At 47.3% G+C, this 19,739-nt stretch overlaps 2 pseudogenes, besides 2 other annotated features; one reads left to right on the top strand and one right to left on the bottom strand.

Annotated features, from left to right (window-relative positions):
* On the top strand, window positions 384-2,467 carry SLC9A3P2 (solute carrier family 9 member 3 pseudogene 2; annotated as a pseudogene).
* Window positions 1,875-2,505: an enhancer, noted in NCBI's record as "H3K27ac-H3K4me1 hESC enhancer chr22:21008422-21009052 (GRCh37/hg19 assembly coordinates)". NCBI's record gives its function as "activates a minimal SCP1, AML or CMV promoter by ChIP-STARR-seq in primed H9 embryonic stem cells {active_cell/tissue: H9 hESC(primed)}" and the evidence as "EXISTENCE:reporter gene assay evidence [ECO:0000049][PMID:30033119]".
* Window positions 2,506-3,134: an enhancer, noted in NCBI's record as "H3K27ac-H3K4me1 hESC enhancer chr22:21009053-21009681 (GRCh37/hg19 assembly coordinates)". NCBI's record gives its function as "activates a minimal SCP1, AML or CMV promoter by ChIP-STARR-seq in primed H9 embryonic stem cells {active_cell/tissue: H9 hESC(primed)}" and the evidence as "EXISTENCE:reporter gene assay evidence [ECO:0000049][PMID:30033119]".
* On the bottom strand, window positions 15,337-19,079 carry ABHD17AP4 (ABHD17A pseudogene 4; annotated as a pseudogene).

The raw sequence follows: 19,739 nt of genomic DNA on the forward strand, positions 1-19,739 counted from the left end.
CCTCGTGATCTGCCGGCCTCAGCCTCCCAAAGTGCTGGGATTACAGGCATGAGCCTCCGCGCCCAGCCCCAACAAAACTTTATTTGCAAAAACAAGTGGAGGACCACATTTGGTTCATGGGTGGTAGTTTGCTGTCCCTTTCTCTTGATAGAACAGAAAACAATGTGGAAAAATGAGGGCACTGATGATTTTAAGTCAAAAGTGATACAGAAGATGAACTTTGAACTAAAAAAAAAGTTTTAAGAATATCTTACTTCAATGATATTTTATCTGTGTGTACTTACAAAAGTGATGTGTGATTAAAAAACCAAACAAGGGGACTGCCATCAGCAACAGCCCCAAAGCCCACTGGGCTCCTTGGTGGGTTGTGAGTTCAGCAGCCTCAGCAGGGTGCATCAGTCGAGCACAGCTAGGACTCCCCACAACATGCGTGTCCCAGGCTGGCACTGAGACACAGCGCTGATGTTGCTGCCGGGGGCTGCTGATGGCACTGGTGCTGGTGCTGGGGTGGCTGCTATGGGTGAGGGGGCGTCAAGGAAGAGCACAGTAGTGTGTAGATGTGAACCAGGGTCCCCAGGTGGTCGCCTTTGAATGGGCCAATGTCCAAGACCTGTACATGATTGTGCTCTGCATCCTTGCAGCCAGCCTGGCCAAGACTGGTTCTACCTGTCCCACAAGGTCACCAGCATAGTCCCTGAGAGCACCCTGCTCATCATCCTGGGCCTGGTGCTGGGCAGCATCATCTGGGTGGCCAAACACATAACATCCTTCATGATGATGTCCCTCATCATGCTAGATGCCAGCTACTTCATCCCCAACTGGCTCTTCTTCGGCAACCTGGGCACCATCCTGCTGTACAAGGTCATCAGCACCATGTGGAATGCATCCACCACCATCCTGTCCCTCTATGACGTCTCTCTTAGTAGGCTCATGGGCTACCTGCAGATAGGGCTGCTGGACTTCCTCCTGTTCGGCAGCCTGATCACCACTGTGGACCCAGCAGCTGTCCTGGTTGTGTTTGAGGAGGTTCATGGCAATGAGGTCCTGTTCATCATCATCTTCAGGGAGTTGCTACTGAATGACTCTGTCATCATGGTTCTGTACAATGTGTTTCAATCTTTTGTGACACTGGGTGGTGACAACGTGACCAGCATGAACTCTGTGGAAGGTGTAGTCTCCTTCCTTGTGGTGAGCCTGGGGGGCATGCTGGTGGGAATGGTCTTTGCCTTTCTGTTGTCACTGGTGACCCACCTCACCAAGCATGTGCACATCATCGAGCCTGGTTTCATGTTGGTCATCTCCTACCTGTCCATTCTGATGTCTGAGAAGCTGTTGCTGTAGGCCATCCTGGCCATCATCTTCTGTGGCATCTGCTGCCATAAGTACATGAAGGCCAACATCTCAGAGCAGTTGGCCCCCACCATGTGCTACACCATGAAGATGCTGACCAGTGGCACCAATCCCATCTTCATGTCCCTGGGCACCTTAGCCATGAACCTGCTCATCTGGACGTGGAACAAGGCATTCATCCGCCTGCACTGGCCTTCATCTTCAGGTACTGAGGCCATCAGTGTCATCCACTCCTGGCTCCTGGACTGCTATTGGATGGTGTGGCTGGAAATCATAGGCCAGGTGGTCATGTCCTGTGGAGGCCTGCATGGGGCCATGGCTTTCATCCTGGTCATACTTCTGAATGGAAACAAGGTCAAGGAGAAGAACCTGTTTGTCAGCACCACCGTCAACATCTTCAAGGTCATCTTCTGGGGTCTGACCATCTAGTCCCTGGTGCAGTGGCTGAAGGTGAAGAGGAGTGAGCACTGGGAGCCTAAGTTCCATGAGAAGCTGCAATGCCACCCTCTCGACCACATCCTCTTGGCCATCAAGGACATATCGAGGCATATCAGGCACAATGATCTCAAAGACATGTGGTCCCACTTTGACAGGAATTTCCTCAGTGGAGTCCTCATGAGAAGGCTGGCCCAGAAGTCTCCAGAAGGGATCCTCAATGTCTTCCATGCACTGAACCTGAAGGATGCCATCAGCTAAGTGACCAAAGGAGAGTGCCTGAGATCCCTGGCCTTCATCGGCTCCCCAAGTACTGATAACGTGGTAAACGTGGACTTCACACCACGATCGTCCACCATGGTGGCCTCTGTCTCCTACCACCTGAGGGAGAACATCAGCACCGTCTGTCTAGACATTCAGTCCCTGGAGCAGCATGGCAGAGCATTCGGTACGGGGAGGACACGGTCATGCACCACATGCTGCAGCAATACCTGTGCAAGCTGGGGAAGGAGTATATGCATCGCTACAGCCACACCAGCTGAGGACAAGAAGCAGGACCGAGATATCTTCCACAGGTCTATGAGGAAGCACCTGGAATCCTTCAAGTAGACCAAGCTCAGGATCACCCAGAACAAGAAGGCGGCCAAGCTGTACAAGCCAAAGCGTGCCCAGAAACAGAGAACTCCCAAAGCTCTGTACCCGCTCCAGCACAGCTGCACTAATGCCAACCCAGGCCAGGGCCTGGGCCTGAGCGGCCATCCTACACTGCTGAACAAAATGAATTTGCAAAAGTGATACCCCAGGCAAGGCTCCAGGCCCCTCCCAGCCCAGCATCTCTCCCCAGCACGGTGGGGTGCATCCAGAGTGCCAGGACTCAGGGCCTGACCCTGGAGTGGCTGCAGGCCCAGCAAGTGGCCCAGGCTCAAGTGCTATTTTCAGGTCCTTAGCAGTTTGTTGAACTGCTGGGTCACCTCGTGCGCTGCAGGTAAAGTTGCAGGAATGTCTTCTGTTTGCTCAGCACTTGCGATTTAGACTCCTTGAACCAGCACCTGCCCCCTTTCCCTCCCAGTTACCATCCTGCCCTTGCCAGCTTTGGAGGTGGAAGCTCTGGGTGGCTGCCATGCAAATGCCTCTTCTGGATCTGGTATCGCAAGGGGGGATAGAGGGATGAGGCCTGAGGTGACCTTGAGGTCATTTAAATTTTCTAAATTAGACAAAACAATTAAAAAAAAACCATATTCCCATGCCTTTTAAAAATCAAAACCACGTACTGTTTCTTTTCAGTGTAAGCAGTTTTAATTACCTACCAGGTGCAGAGTCTAGGATACAAGACAGAACTGCAGATAAAGTCTCTTTCCAGCATAGCTAGGAGACATGGCTCACTCCACCTGTTCCCAGGCCTCACCTAGAAATCTAATGAATGGCTCCAAACCAGGTAAACTAGATAATTTTCCAAAGTCAAAGAAGCAGTTTATGACATTAAAGCACTTAGCCAATTTAACCTCTGACTTAATTTAGAACAAATGTCTAAATTTTAAAGACTTTTTTACCAATAATTTTAAAACTGTATTTCCCAAAGATTACTGAAGTCATGTGAAATAAAAGGCATGAGAGTGTCTATTCTTCTGACAACATATTTAAGAGGTTTCATTTTCTCTTAATCCAATTAATTAGAGTACCTTCATATAAGCATCACACACACAACACTTCTAGACAGGAGAAGATCTAGCAGTTGTAAGTTTTTCTTTCCCATCTTATGACTTTCTGACTTGTCCTATATTTTGCTCTTTCCTAGTCATTCTACTTTAGGACAAGAATTTGCCATACAAGATGCTCTCTCACATAAAATTTCTTTCCTTCATAACCTATCTTACATAAATATATCTTCATATCCACAACTTTTTCTTTTCTTCTTTTTTTTTTTTTTTTTTTTGGAGATGGGGTTTTGCTCTTGTTGCCCAGGCTGGAGTGCAATGGTGTGATCTGTGCTCACCACAACCTCTGCCTCCCGGGTTCAAGCAATTCTCCTGCCGCAGCCTCCCAAGTAGCTGGGATTACAGGCATGTGCCACAACACCTGGCTAATTTTCTATTTTTAGTAGAGACGGGGTTTCTCCATGTTGGACAGGCTGGTCTCGAACTCCTGACCTCAGGTGATCCGCCTGCCTCGGCCTCCCAAAGTGCTGGAATTACAGGCATGAGCCACCATGCCCAGTTTCCACAACTTTTTTTAGATCTCTCTCCCCTACTAATTTCTGATGCCCACCCAAATCAAAAAGGTCAGATAAAGCAAGGCAAAACAGAGTAGAGCCTTAGATTTTGAGAGGGACCTGTCTGCTTACACTTCTTGAAGTTCCATAAGGAAAACAGACGTTTCTCCTAAAATGGAGTCTATGGCACCTTCTGTTTTTCCTAAGGAGTCCCAGGTTGTCAGGAATTACCTTAGGTCCTCTCATATGAGCATCAAGAGTGGCAAGAAGACAGACTAGGGAAATAATTCAGTCAACTGAGAAGAAAAAGAAAACCTTAGTACTGTTCCCCTTGTAAAGATGGATAAATGGAGGCACCATGCATACTGTACGGAACCCGCCCAGGCAATGCAACCTGGGATAGCATGCCCAACGTGCCCCCGTGGAGAGCAGTGCAGACCCAGATACCACACCTACCCTGCTTCCTTTTCTACCACTCTGGCCATACTCCCACTGTGGGCTGCCCTCCTACCGCTCTCCCCGCTGCAGTCTCCATGGCCACCACCAACCTCAGCTAAGCGAAACACGTTGCCACACGCTCAAGCCTACCGCATCCAGCAGGCGTCTTACCCTTCTCCTTCTCTAAGCTGGGCACCGAACATCAGGGTATGCAGACACAGGAGAGCCCGGTAATGGCCTGATTCCTTGCCCCCTCAGCCGGCTTTATATAGGGAGGTTTTGCAACTGAGTGCCTGGACTACATATTCTGATTGGATGAGAGAAAACGTCTAGGCCTACTCTGATTGGACTTTATTGTCATGTTCTGATTGGTTGCCTTAAGAATTGCTCTCATCCAATCAGAACATGATAATAAAGTCCAATCAGAGTAGGCCTAGAGGTTTTTCTCCCATCCAATCAGAACATGTAGTTCAGGACCCAGTGGTGTAACTTCCCTATATAAAGTATGCTGAGGGGACGTCAGGCCATTGCAGATTCTTTAGTGTTTGCCTCCTCAGCGGCTCTTGCCCGGCTTAGAGGAGGAAGAGGCGAAAGGAAAGACACCTCCCTCACTCTGGCCTAAGGCACCACGGCTCACCTCACTGCTGTGGTTGGTGGTTGCTGCCACGGAGACTGAAGAGCCACCGGAGTAGTAGGAGGGTGGCCCACAGTGCAGGAGCTGCTCAGTGCCCGGCTTAAAGGAGGAAGAGAAGGGGAAGACCCCTGTCCCAAGCTGGAGGCTGGAGCTCTTGGCACCTCGGCTGGCCTCTCTGCGATTGGTGGCTGTAATGAAGACTGCAGCCCCGCCTGAGCATTAAGAAGGAGAAAATAGTTTTTGGGTAAATGGAGGGAGAAAAGAGAGTGGCAGGTGGAAGGAGTACAGAGAGAGTAGTAAAGGGGGGAAAACACGGGGGCGAGCAAGAGGGAGAGGAAGTTTTGCGAAAAGAGAGTGGGGAGAAAAGTTTTTGGGTAGATAGAAGGGGAAAAGAGGGTGGCAAGCAGGAGCCATAAAAGATGGTGGGGAAAAGAGTGGGGGAAAAGTTTTTGGGTAGATGGAGGGGGAAAAGAGGGTGACAAGCAGGAGGGGGGAAGGAGGGTTGGGAAAACGACGGAAAAATAGTTTTGGGGGGCAGATGGAGGGTGAAAAGAGGGTGGCGTGTGGGAGAGGGGCGGGAGTGGGGAAAAGAGGTTGTTGAGCAGGAGCGGGGAGAAGGCTTTGTGAAAAGATGGTGAGGGGGGAAAGACAAGAAAAAGGTTTTTGGGTAGATGGAGGGGGAAAAGAGGGTGGTGAGTAGGAGGGGGCAAGAGTGGTGAGCGAGGGAGACAAGGTTTTCCAAAAAGACCATGGAGGAAAATGTTTTTGGGTAGATGGAGGGGGAAAAGAGGGTGACAAGCGGGAGAAGGAAAAGGGGTGGTGAGAGGGAGGGAGAGAAGGTTCTGCGAAAAGAAGGAAGACAGAAAAGAAAGATGGTGCAGAAACAAAAAACGTGGGTAAAAAGCTTTTGGGCAGATGGAGGGGAAAAAGTGGCAAGTGGGAGGAGAAGAGAGGGTGGCGAGAGGGAGGTAGGGAAGAGGATTGGGAAAAAGATGATGGGGAAAATAGTTTTGGGGTAGATGGAGGGCAAAAAGAGGGTGGCAAGCAGGCTAGGGGAAAGAAGAGGGCGAGCGGGAAGGAGGAAGGGCTTTGTGAAAAGACAGTGGGGAAAAATTTGGGGGGTAGATGGAGGGGGGAAGAGGGTGGCGAGCCGAAGTGGGGAGAAGGCTTTATGAAAAGACAGTGGGGAAACGTTTTTGGATAGATGGAAAAGAGCGTAGCAAGGAGGGGAAAAAAGACGATGGGGAAACAGTTTTTGGGTAGATGGAGGGGGCAAAGAGGGTGGTGAGTAGCAGGAGTAGGAAAAAGGCTTTGGGAAAAGATGGAGGGAAATGTTTTTGGGATGATGGAGGAGCAAAAGGCTAATGAGAGCGGAAGGGGGAAAAAGAGGGTGGGTAAAAACTGTGGGGAAGTTTTTGGGTAGATGGGGAAAAGAGTGGTGAGTGGGAGAGTAGAGAAGGTGTTGTGAAAAGACGGTGGGGAAAAAATGATGGGGAAGAAGTTTTGGGGTAGATGGAGGAAGAAAAAGGATGGCGAGAGGGAGGGGTCCGAAGGCGGTCAGGAAAAGAAGGCAGGGAAATAATGATGGGGGAGAAAGCTTTTGGGTAGATCTTTTTCTGATTTTTAAATCAGATTATTTGCATTTTTGTTTTTGAGTAGTTCTTGTCTTCTTTATATATTTTGTGTATTAACCCCTCGCCTGATGCATAGTTTGCAAATACTTCCATTCTCTGGATTATTTCTTCATTCTATGGATTGCATCCTCTGCTTTGCAGAAGTTTTGAAGTTTAATGTAATTCCATTTGTCTATTTTTGCTTTTTCTGCTTGTGCTTTTGATGTCTATTTGAAAATTCCTTGTCCTAACCAATTTCCTAAAGTATTTTTCCTATGTTTTTTTCTCTAGTAGTTTCATAGTTTCAGATCCTATATTTAAATCTTTATTTTGAGTTGATTTTCTTACATGGTAAGATAACAGTCTAGATTTATTCTTCTACCTGTGGGTGTTGGGTTTTCCTAGCACAGTTTATTGAAGAGATTGTCCTTCCTGAATGTGTGTTCTTGGTGCCTTTGTTAAAATTGAGTTGACTGTAAATGTGTGAATTTATTTCTCAGTTCTCTATTCTGTTTCATTTGTCTATGTGTGTCTGTCTGTCATTTGTCTATGTCTGTCTCTCTGTCTCTCCCCGCCCCCCCCCCTTTTCTTGCCAGTACCATGCTGTTTTGGTTACTATAGATTTGTAGTATATTTTGAAATCAGTGTGATGCCTCCAGCTTTTTTCTTTTTATTCAACATTCTTTTGTTTATCTGAAGATATTTTGCATTTCCATGTGAATTTTAGGCTGGTTTTTTTTTGTATTTCTATGAAGAACATCTTTTGTAATTTAACATGGATTGCACTGACTCTGTAAGTCATATATTGGGTGACACAGATATTTTAACAATATTCTTTCTAGTGCATGGACATAGGATAGCTTTCTATTTACTTGCATTTGCTTTAATATCTTTCATCAATGTGTTTTATAGTTTTCATTGTGGGATCTTTTGCCTTTTTGGTTAAGTTTATCCCTAGGTATCTTTTTTTGGTGAGTACTGTTAATGAAATAGCTTTCCTGATTTTTCTTAGGTGTTTCACTATTGGCTCATTGGTGCGCTACTCATTTTTGTATATTGATATTGTGTCTTGCAATTATACTAAATTTATTATTTCTAGTAAAATTTTTAGTGGAATCTTTAGGGTTCTCTATTATATGATCATGTTACCTGAAGACAGAGAAAATTTGACTCCTTTTTTTCCAGTTTGGATGCCTTTTATTCATTTGTCTAATTGCATTCTCTTGCCTAATTGCTGTAGTGAGGACTTCCAGTACTATAATGAACAAAAGTGGTAAAAGTAGCCACGTTTGTTCCAGATTTTAGAGGAAGAGCTTTTAAATTTTCCCCATTGATTATGATGTTAGCAGTGGGTTTGTCATATATGGCCTTTATTGTGCTAAGTAATGTTTCTTTTGTATTCATTTTGTTGAGTTTTTATCATGAAAGAATGTTGAATTTTATTTTTTTCAGCATCTACTGAAACGATTACATGGTTTTTGTTGTTGATTTGCTGAATATGATGTATCACATTTATTTGTTTATTGAATCATCCTCATTTTCCTCAGATGAATCTTGCTTGATCATGGCAGATTATCTTTTTATTGTATTGTCAAATGCAATTTTCAAGTATTTTGTTGAGGATTTTTTTGCATCTGTGTTCATCAGGGATATTTGTCTGTGGTTTTCTTTTTGTGTTGTGTCCTGGTCTAGTTTTTGTACCAGGGTAATGCTCGCCTTATAGAACAAGTTTGAAAGTATTCCTCTTCATATTTTGGGGAATATTTTGAGTAAAATCGGTATTCGTTGTTTTAAAAATGTTTGGCAGAATTCAGCAATAAAACCATGATTCGTGTGTTTTTCTTCAATTGACAGGAGACTTTTTATTACTGCTTTAATTGCATTACTCATTATTCGTCTCTTCAGGTTTTTTATTTCTTTATCATTCTATCTTGGGAATTTGTTATATGTCCAGAAATTTATTCATTTCTCCTACATTTTTCAATTTGTATATAAGTGTTTTTAGTAATCTCTTAGAATACTTTGTATTTCTGTGTGATCAACTGTAATGTCTCCTTTTTCGTCTATCATTTTCAGTTTTTCTTAGTCTAGTTAAAGCTTGTCAATTTTGACTTTTTTCCAAAAACAAAAAAACCCCAGCTTTTGGTTCCGTTTGACTTTTTGTATTTTTTTTAGTTTCAATTTTTAATTTTTTTCTAATCTTTATTATTTTATTTCTACTAATTTGATTTTTCTTGTTTTTCTCATTACTTGGTGTATTGTCAGGTTGGGTATTTGAGATCTTTCTACTTTTATACTGCTGTGTTGACTTCTTTACCCTTATATAATTATCTTTCTAGTTTTTCTTTTTTTGACTTAAAGTCTATTTTATCAGATATAAGTGTAGCTACTCCTGCTTTTTTGTTTCCATTTGTATGGGATATCTTTTATCATCCTTTCATTTTCAGTCTATGTATGTCTTTATAGGTGAAGTGAGTGTCTTAGTCAGTATATAGTTGGGTCTTGTCTTTAAATCCACTCAGCCACTTTGTCTTAATTGGAGAATTTAATTCATTTATATTCAAGATTATTACTAACAGGTAAAAACATACTGTTGCCATTTTTTACTTGTTTTCTAGTTGTTTTGCTACTCTCTTTTTTTGTTTTCTCCTTTCCTTTCTCTTCTCTCCTCTCTCTCTCCTTTCTTCCTTTCTTTTCCTTCCTCTTTCCCTTCCTTCCTGTCTTTATTTGTAGTGAGGTCATTTTCTCTGGTAGTGTGTTTTAATTTCTTGCTTTTTTATTTTTAGGGTGTCTATTACTGATTTTTGTTTTCTGGTCAGCATGAGGCTAAACAACATAATTATAACGAGTTATTTTAAACTGAAGAAAACTTAACCTTGATTGCAAAGAACAAAAAAGAGAGAAACAAAAAAAACTAAAAACATTTACCCTGTAACTCTATCCCCCGCAACACACACACATTTTGTATTTAGATGTCTTTCAGTATTTTTTTTTTTTTTTTTTTTTTTTTTTGAGACGGAGTCTCGCTCTTTGGCCCAGGCCGGAGTGCAGTGGCGCTATCTTGGCTCACCGCACGCTCCGCCTCCCAGGTTCACACCATTCTCAGCCTCCCGAGTAGCTGGGACTACAGGCGCCAGCCAACGCGCCTGGCTAATTTTTTGTATTTTTAGTAGAGATGGGGTTTCACCATGTTAGCCAGGATGGTCTCGATCTCCTGACCTTGTGATCCGCCCGCCTTGGCCTCCCAAAGTGCTGGGATTACAGGCTCAGTATGTTTCTATATTGCCTATCCCTTTAAAAATTGTTGGGTTATATTATTATTTTAACAATTTTGTATTTTAGCCTTCACATGAAAGATATAGGTTGCTTATACATCACAACTATAGTATTCTAAATTTATCTGTGTACTTTTAGTAATGAGATTTATACCTTCAGATGGTTTCTTGTTACATGTTAGCATCATTTTCTTTCAGACTGAACAACTCCCTTTAGCATTTCTTGTAAACCAGGTTTGGTAGTGATGCATTTCCTCAGCTTTTGTCTGGGAAAAGTATTTATCTCTTCTTCATTTTTGAAGGATCTATTCTTTGGGTGTGGTTTTTTTCATTGGTATTGTTTTTCTTAAGCACTTTGAATATGTCATCCCACTTCTCCCATAGGAGGGAGGCCCTCAGCCTGTTTAATTTTTGCTGAGAACTCTGCTTCCTGACATATCAAAGGTCCTCAATATGTTGTTTGATTCACTTCTCTTGCTGTTTATAGTATCCTCTTTGTCCTTGACATTTGGAGTTGGATTATTATATGCCTTGGCATAGTTTTTTTTTTTTTTTCCTTGAGATGGAGTCTCGCTCTTGTTGCCCAGGCTGGAGTACAGTGGCACAGTCTTGGCTCACTGCAACCTCTGCCTCCTGGGTTCAAGCAATCCTCTTGCTCAGCCTCCCAAGTAGCTAGGATTATAGGCACCCACGACCATACTTGGCTAATTTTTGTATTTTTAGTAGAGATGGGGTTGCACCATGTTGGCCAGGGTGGTCTCGAACTCCTGACCTCAAGTGATTCACCTGCCTCGGCCTCCCAAAGTACTTGGGATTACAGGCCTGAGCCACCGCACCTGGCCACTTTGGCGTAGTCTTATTTGGCTTGAATCTGCTTGATGATCTTTGGTCTTCATGTACCTGGATATTTATATATTTCTCTTGAATTGGAAAGCTTTCTGTTACCATCTTTTTGAATAAGCTTTCTACTCTTTCTCTGCTTTCTCTTGAAGACCAATGACTCTTAAATTTGCTCTTCTGATACTATCCCATAGATTTCCTAAGCTGCCTTCATTCTTTTTTTTCTTTTCTTTTTTCTCCTATTGTGTATTTCAAATGGCCTGTGTGAGCTCACTGATTCTTTCTCTGTTGGATCAGTTCTGCTGTTGAGGCCCTCTCATGCATTTTTCAGTGCATCCATTATATTTTTCAGCTTTGAGGTTTTTGTGGTCTTTTAAAATTATTTCAATCTCTTTGTTAAATTTCTTTGATACATTTCCGAATTACTTATATTTTTAAAATTGCATTGATTTTCCTCAAAACAGCTATTTTTTACCTCCCTCTCTGAATAGTTTAACATCTTTATCTCTCCTAGGTTAGTCACTGGTGACTTGTTTATTGTTTGGTGAGGTCATACTTCCCTGAATGTTCTTAATGCATTTGGGCCTATGTTCATGCCTGGGAATTGAATAAGTCAGTATTTATTCCAGTCTTTGTAGTCTGGTCTTGTTTGTACCTGTCCTCCTCTAGATGGTCTTCCAGAAATTCCAAGGGTACTGACTATTGAGTTCCCTAAGGCTGGGGTCACTGAAGCTGTTTCAGCACCAGGGTGCCCTAAGCTCAGGTTCACTGTGACTCTTGCAGGACTGAGGTCCCAGAGGGCCCTGATGGACTTGGAGAAGATAAGGGAGGGGTTCCCTGGGTTCCCAGGCAAAGTGCTTCATTCACTTCCCTCTTCTTCCCATTGGAAGGAGTCTGGGTACTAAGCTTTGTGGATCTGGGAGAAGGGTGGCTTGGGCACTCCCATGGCCACTGCAGCTGGCACCACATACCCGAAGCCCACAGCCTCTAGGACCAGAGCAGCACTGGGGCTTGTCTGAGTCCTGTGGCCACTACTGCCTGACTGCTGCTGACTTATGTAGGTCTTGAGGCCGAGCTACTCTGCTGGTGGTGAAGCTGGCCAGGGTTTAGGTCCATCCCGCCAGGGCAGCAGGTTCTCTTCTACCTCCAGGCAGGTCTAGAGGTGTCTGGGAGCTCCTGCCTGGGATCAGGGCCACTGTGTTCTGCCTGATGCTGTGTCCACCGTGGTGGAGCCTGGACTGGGTTCTCCTCTTTCCTGCATAGGAAAGGAGTTCTCCCGGCACTGCACTGCCTGGAGTTGGGATTAGGGTAACACAGGCAGCCCTGTGGCCACTGTAGCGGATGTCATATATGAAACCCACAGCCTCCCAGACCAGCACATCATTGGTTGCTGGGGCTCACCCAAGGACCACAGTGGCTATGGCCTGCCTGCCACTGAAATTTATTCAGAGCCTGAGGCCACTTTAAACAGCTGGTGGTGAAGGAAGTCAGGACTCAGGTTTGTCCCACCGGGCAGTGGATTCCCTTCTAGCCCAGGTCATGTCTAAATGCTCTGTCTGTGGGCACCGGCCTGGAATCAAGGACCATGGGGTTCTGCCCAGTGCTGTGTTTTACTGTAGCAGAGCTGGTACTGGGCTCCAAGGCAAAGTTTAATGCACACTCTCTTCTCCCTCCTGGAAGTGGACACATTGTCTCTCTGCACTGCCTGGGGTTGAGGGAGGGATGGTATAGGCACTGCAAGACTGTCTTTTCCACCCTGTTTAATGTGTCTTTTCTTGTTTTTAAGCTAAAACCAGGTTCTGTGATCTGTCACCTGATTTCTTTGGCTCTTGTGAAGGTATTCTCTTGCTTAGATTGTTGGTGGTTCAATTTGATGTTCCTGCAGGGAGACAATCTTGTAGAGTTCTATTCTGCCATCTCGCTCCACCACTTCTCATTTATTTAATTGTTCTTCAACTTATTTCAACAATATTTTGCAGGTTTCAAAGTATGAATTTTGCACTGCTCTTGTTAATTTCTAAATTTATTACTTGTTTTGTTGGTATTATACATGGGTTTGTTTCCTTAATACCATTTTAAAGCAGTTTATTGATAGTATATAGAAATAAAATTAAATTTTTAGTATTGCATTTATATCTTGAAACTACGTCAAATTTATTTCTAATAGTATTTTACTGAATTTCTTAGAATTATATATGAGATCGTGCCATGTGTAAATATAAAAAAATTATTTTCTTTTCAATAAGGATGTTTTAAATTTTCCGTTCTTTACTACACCTCGCTACAATCTACAATATAATGTTGAATAGAATTTGCAAGAGTGGACATTCTTGTAACTGATTAGTCATTCACCCTCTCATTGCTGAGTATAATGATAGCTGTAAGTTTCATAGGTAACTACCACTAGTTTCAGGAAGTTACCTTATTGTTCGTAAATTTGGAGTGTTTTGTTTTTTTTTTGTTGTTTTTTTTTTTTTTTGGAGACAGAGTTTCACTCTTTTTGCCCAGGCTGGAGTGGTACAATGGCGAGGTCTTGGCTCACTGCAACCTCCGCCTCCCAGGTTCAAGCGATTCTCCTGCCTCAGCCTCCCAAGTAGCTGGGATTACAGGCGCCTGCCACCATGTCTGGCTGAGTTTTTGTATTTTTAGTAGAGACGGGGTTTCACCATGTTGGCTAGGATGGTCTCAGTCTCTTGACCTCGTGATTGCGCCCGCCTCAGCCTCCCAAAGTGCTGGGATTACAGTTGTGAGCCACCGCTCCCAGCCTGGAGTGTTTTTATTATTAGAATGTGTGATATTTTCTCAAATGCTTTCTGTCTGAGATGCTTATATATTTTTGTCTTTTATTCTGTTAATATGGTGTTTGCATGCAATGATTTTCAAATATTAAATCAATGGTGCATTCCTGGGGTAAATCACATCTGCGTATAGTGCATAATCTATTTTATATGTTTCTGGATTCAGTTTGGCAATATTTTGTTGAAGACTTTTGATTTTATAAAACAATGTGCTGGGCGTGGCGGCTCACGCCTGTATAATCCCAGCACTTTGGGAGGCCTAGGTGGGTAGATCACCTGAGGTCAGGAGTTCGAGACCAGCCTGGCCAACATGGTGAAACCCTGTCTCTACTAAAAATACAAAAATTAGCCATGCATGGTGGTGCACGCCTGTAATCCCAGCTACTTGGGAGGCTGAGGCAGGAGAATCGCTTGAACCTGGAAGGTAGAGGTCGCAGTGGGTTGAGATTGCACCACTACACTCCAGCCTGGATGACAGAGTGAGACTCTGTCACACACACACAAAATGAAAGATACTGTTCTATATTGTTTTGTGATACAGTTTTGGTGTCAGTAATCCTGGCTTTATAAAATGAATTGGGAAGTGTTCTCTCCCCTTTTATTTTCTGCAAGAGTTGGTGAACAATTGATATTAATTTCTCAGTGTGTTTGATAGATTTTGCCTGGGAAGCTACTTGAGATTTTTATTGTAAGTTTTTAAAATTACAATCCAATCTTTTTACCTTCTGTAGATCTATTTCGATTTTCTATTTCTCCTTAGTCCTTTCATCTATTTTAGTTTGTGTCTTTCTAGGAATTCATCCATTCTATCTAGGCTATCTGATTTTTTTAACATAAGATTTTCACTGCATTGTCTTGTATTTTTATTTTGTAATACTGGCAGTGATGGGTTTTCTTTTATTGCTGATTTTAGTAATTTGAGTCTCTTCTCTCTTTTTCTTGATTGACCTAAGTAAACATTTGCCAATTTTGTTATCTTTTCAAACATTTAATTTTGGTTTATTGATTTTCTCTGTTGTTTCATATTCCCTTTCTGTTGGCTTAACTCTTATTATGAAATTTTTTTTGTCTTTAAAAATTTTATATTTGGTTAATTAAAATTTAAGTTGATTTTGGGGTATCAACGCTTCTCTTATATGAAAATAAGAGCATGAATCAAGAAATAATGGGTTCCCAAATACTGCAGTGGAAACACATTTTTTTGGGGGGGTACAAAACAAGTATCCATGTACATATAGTCCTTGGTTCCCCAAGTCATTGAGTCAACTTAGTCAAAATAAGTAGCCTCTCATTTCTTATCTCATGAGGGTGGTCTTGCCTTGCTTGGAGACATTATAATGAATTCACTTGATGTAGTTACTTTTAAGCATACCAGTTTACTTCATATCCCATTTTCAACCAGTTATCGTACCCGGAATAATTGCTAGAATCAAATTCCATCATGCACAGGTAAATAAGTAAATTCTGTCATTTACTATCTAAATTAGATATATAATTATTTATAGATACGTACATATATTTTACTTGTAATTCAGTGAACATAAGGCTTTGTATGCTCTGTCTAAAATATGCTGTCTATATTAATTCTCATGATAGTAAAGAATAGAGTGATGGAGTCTATATTTTACATATATCTTCCATTTAGTAGCAGAAATAAAATCCTTGTACTTGATTTGGTAAATTCCTCCATTTAAATTAAGATGTTACTTCCCGGAAACAAAATTTTTTTTTCTTTTTTTTTTTTAAATTTTAAATCTTTAATTTCTGTTTTCACATATTTTCTTTTTGCTTCCAAAAGGAAAGGAGTGCGTAGCTCTGTTGACTGTGTACATCGTCCACAGCCCCTGGGTCGGGGCAGGGTCCCCTAGGCCGCCCGGGGGTCCACATGCAGCCCCTGGGGGGCCGGCGCGGGGTGAGGTCCGGGGGCCGCCTTATTGCTGAGGTCCGGCCGGTTGGGGCCCGCCGCTAGGCGCGCTGGCTGGGCAGCTCCTGGGAGATGAAGCGACGCAGGCGCTCCAGGTACTGGCTGTAGAGCTCGATGTCGTTGTGCCCGGCGCCCTCCACCCACAGCGGCTCCACCGCCTTGGGGCAGCGCTCGTAGAGCGCCAGCCCGTGTGAGAAGTCGATCACCTCGTCCTCCATGCCGTGGATGATGAGCACGGGCGACGTGATCTTGGACACCTTCTCGATGTTAGGGAAGGCGTCGAAGCAGTAGGTCTTGGTGTCGGGGAAGGCGACGCGCATGCCCGAGGTGAGCGGCGAGTGCAGCACCACCGCGGCACACTCGTAGCGCGAGGCCAGGTCCACGGTGGGCACCGTGCCGATGCTCTGCCCGTACAGGATGATGCTGTCCGGGCTGATGCCGTACCTGGCGGCGCCGGAGCAGGGTCAGCCGCGGCCTCCGACGCGGGCGCACCCTTCCCACCAGCGGGCGTCCCCGGGCCCAGCTCCGGATGCGACCCTCCAGTCTCCCCACTCAGCTAAGTCAGTGGGTCAGACCCAGGCTCCACACCAGTCCCGAGGGCCACCCCCAGCCCCCAACACCGCGGCGGTGGGCGAAGCCAGCGGCCCCGCCCTATTCCCTGGCGCTGCCGTTCACTGGCGTTTCCTAGCAAGGATCTGCAGGGATCCCGCCTACAGAGTGCCCCTGGGGCAGGGGTAGGGGAGGCCCTGGCACCTCTCCTCCTCCTGGTCACCCCTAGGTGCACACTGGGAACTGTGTGCCCCCTACATTCTGAATGCTTCACGCCTCCCTGCCCGGGTTAGAAAGCCGTTCCTGGTGCACTGGCCAGGACAGCAGACACTCTTCCTCCCTGCAGCCTTTGCCCACCCCCTTGGCCATGAGGAATTCAGGCAGCTGTGTCCCCAAATGTCTCCACCCGATTTTGGAGTCTCGGAGTCCCCACGCCCAATGAGATGCCAGTGCAACCCAGGTCAGCATCGAGGGTGGTGGCTGCGGAGGTGGCACCCCCTCCCACCAGCACCTTCCCTTGGGAGTGGACAAGTCCTCGGCCACCTCAGCACCACCAGCTCCCACCCAGGGGCACCCCCACCCCCAGGTCACTGGTGTGCGGCCCCTGACCCAGCTGATCCAGCAACAGTTACAAGGCCTCCTCGTGCCCAATCCCAACCACGCGGGACCCACCTGCCACCCTGCCCATGCCGGGACCCCACAACTCTCCTCCCACACGCTCCAGGCTCTGATCCCAGGCAGACGCCCTCTTGCAAGGCAGGAGCATGGGCAGGTGTGCATCCCCTCTGCCTGGCATTCGGACTCCACCAGCGGGCTGTCCCCGTCCCTGGCCTGGAATCCCAGCCTCCTGGCAGCACTCCACAGCTCGCCACTCACCCATGCCCCAAAGGATGCTGCCTGGCTGGTGCCTGTGGCCCCAGCTCTGCCTCGGCCTCCCCGGCCTGCTCCCTGGCAGCCATGGTCAGTAGTGTGCTGAGCCAGCCCAGCCCTACCACCTGCTACAGTCAGGAGCCCCCAGCTGCCACCTGGATGTCACCACTCAAAGGAACGGGACACATCCCCAGTGGAGGCCCTGGGCATGCTCTGGCCTCCCCCTCACAGCTCTGGGCCTAGGTTCCTGCAGGACAAAGTGGCAGCAGGACAGATGGCCGAGCAGACAGAGCTCAGAGCTGGCCATGGCGGGTGTGACTCTGCCAGAGGCCCAGGCAGTAGAGACAGGAGGGGCCGAGGAAGTCGCATGAAGTGGTGATTGGTGTCAGCGCCCCACACTGCTGGGAGGCCCCCGGAGCCAGGGTGGTGCCAGGGGACCAGCTCCCAGGCCCACAGCAGGGACCGCCTGCAATATCACCAAGGCAACGAGGACCCCACCTCCCCAGGGCCTCTGACTTCTCAGAGTTGTGCCTGGTCCCCTGCGGGAGCAGGTCAGACCAGTGGGCTGGGGAGGGCCAGGACGAGACAGCCCCAGTGGATGGCGAGCAGGAAAGGCCACCAGAGGCCCACCCGGGTCTCCTCGTCCAAAGCAGCACTGGCCCGGGCGGTGCTCAAACACCGGTGAAGGGCCCAGGCAAGCGCAGGGCTGGGGACCTGGATGACTAGGAGGGCTGGATCTGGAATCGAGGCTGGCCCAGACCTCGGGTGTGTGCTGGGGGTCTGCACCTTACCCTGCAGGCCCTGCCCCAGGATGGCCAAGCTCCGCAGCCACAGGGCCTCATGGGCCAGGCCTCGGGACCTGGATGCAGCAGCCTCGCCTCACTTGGCCCCAAGTGCTGCCTCCGCAGATGGGCTCCCAGCCACACGTGCACAGACCCCCAGACCACCACCCACTCCCGACTGCCGGGTGGCATCCACGCCCCTGTGATAAGCTCAGCCCCTTCCCGTCCTCAGGCCAGGGGTTCCCAGGGAGCCTGGCTCCACAGGCCAGGGTGTGGGAGGACCGCCTGGCCACACCTCAGCCATGTGGAGGCGGCACCTGCACACCCAAGCTCGCCTGTCCGGCTCTCTGGCCCTGTGCATCCACTGTGGCTCCCCTCCTGCAGGGCCGCCCAACTTCCTCCCAGGGAAGCCCGCCCCCCGGCCCCCGGCTTGGTCCCCTCTTGGGTGTGCCCAGGCTGAGCTGCCCCCAGGGTCGCCCTCACCTGGTGCGCAGGGCCTGCCAGGCGGCGTCGATGTCGGCATAGAGGTTCCACTCGGAAGGCCTGCCCGCGCTGGCACCGTAGCCGGAGTAGTCGTAGATGATGTTGCAGTGGAGGCGGGAGTTCAGCCCAGTATAGAAGCTGCTCATCTGGCCCAGGTCCACCGCGTTGCCGTGCGAGAAGAAGACCGTGTACCTGGCACCAGGCACGCAGCGAACATACATGCAGGAGACGCGGTTGCCGTGGGCGCTCTTAGTGGGGAAGACCTCGATGGTGTCCAGCTCGCGCTGGCTGTACTGGAAGTCGGCGAGCTCCGTCAGGTGCAGCTTCCAGCGCCCGAGGAGGCCCGCAGGGTCCCCAAGGGGGCGGCCCCGGCCCCACCAGGCCCCGGCCCCACCAGGCCCGGGCTCAGGCACCAGGGAGTAGGTGGCCTCCGGCGGCAGGAAGGCGAGCTTGGCAGCGATGCGGCCGGGGCAGGGCGGGTAGCAGAAAAGGCAGCAGAGCTCACTCAGCGACAGCCCGTTCATGGCAGGCGCCTCCCGGGCCGGGCCTCCACCGGGGCCCCCGCCAACAACGCCGCCCGGCCTGGCCGGGCAGGGGAGGGGTGGGGGTGCTCCGAGTCGCGGGCAGGGGTGAGAGCCCCAGACGGCAGCCCCATTAGGAGGCCAGGGCCCAGCCCCATCGCGGTCCAAGCCGCCCCAGGGAGCCTCGCAACCACAGGTCTCCATGTCGTGCCGTGGGAAGGCCACCCCGGCCCGCGCCCCCGGGCCCCAGGGCCGCGCTCCATGGCTCCCGACCGCCCGCCCGTGCATCCGTCGGTCCCTCCGCGCCCCGGCCCGGCCTCCTGCACCGCCACCGCCGCAGCTCCCCCACGAACGGAAGCAAAATTTTTCTTAACGGGATGATAATTCACTAGTTTACCTCTAATGAGTCTCAGTATTTAATCTATCATGAAATTACGCGGCACCAAAATAAAATATAATTAGTTAAAACACAAAAATTATTTTATTGATTAATTTAGACATCAGATGTTTACATTATGAAATCAAGGTATTTTTTGGTTTTTGTTTTGTTTTTAGAATATTAGCAAATATTACCAAACATGAACCATAGTAAAAGTTCTTCAGTAACACTTTACCATTCCGTTTTCAAATAACCTGAATTTATGTGCCAGATTGAAAAGCTTTTACATGAGTGACCTATATTTCTGTATGTATCCAAATATTTGTATATCATGTAGACAAGCCAAGAAAATACACAGATATGTAAGCCATTGCATAGAATGGTAAAGAATACATTCTTAATAAGATGCATTCGCTTAATGCTCCAAACAGGTCTCTAGTATCTCAAATGCAGCATTCACCCACTATTTCCAAACATATCAGGGCCAGGTGCCATGGCTCATGCCCATAATCTTGGCACTTTGGGAAGTTGAGGTGGGTGGATCACTTGAGGCCAAGTTCCAGACCAGCCTGGCCAACACGGCAAAACCCTGTCTTTACTAAAACTACAAAAAAAATAAAAATAGCTAGCCATGGTGGC

This window comes from Homo sapiens, chromosome 22 (assembly GCF_000001405.40).
Source record: "Homo sapiens chromosome 22, GRCh38.p14 Primary Assembly".
In the NCBI taxonomy this organism is placed as follows: Eukaryota; Metazoa; Chordata; class Mammalia; order Primates; family Hominidae; genus Homo; species Homo sapiens.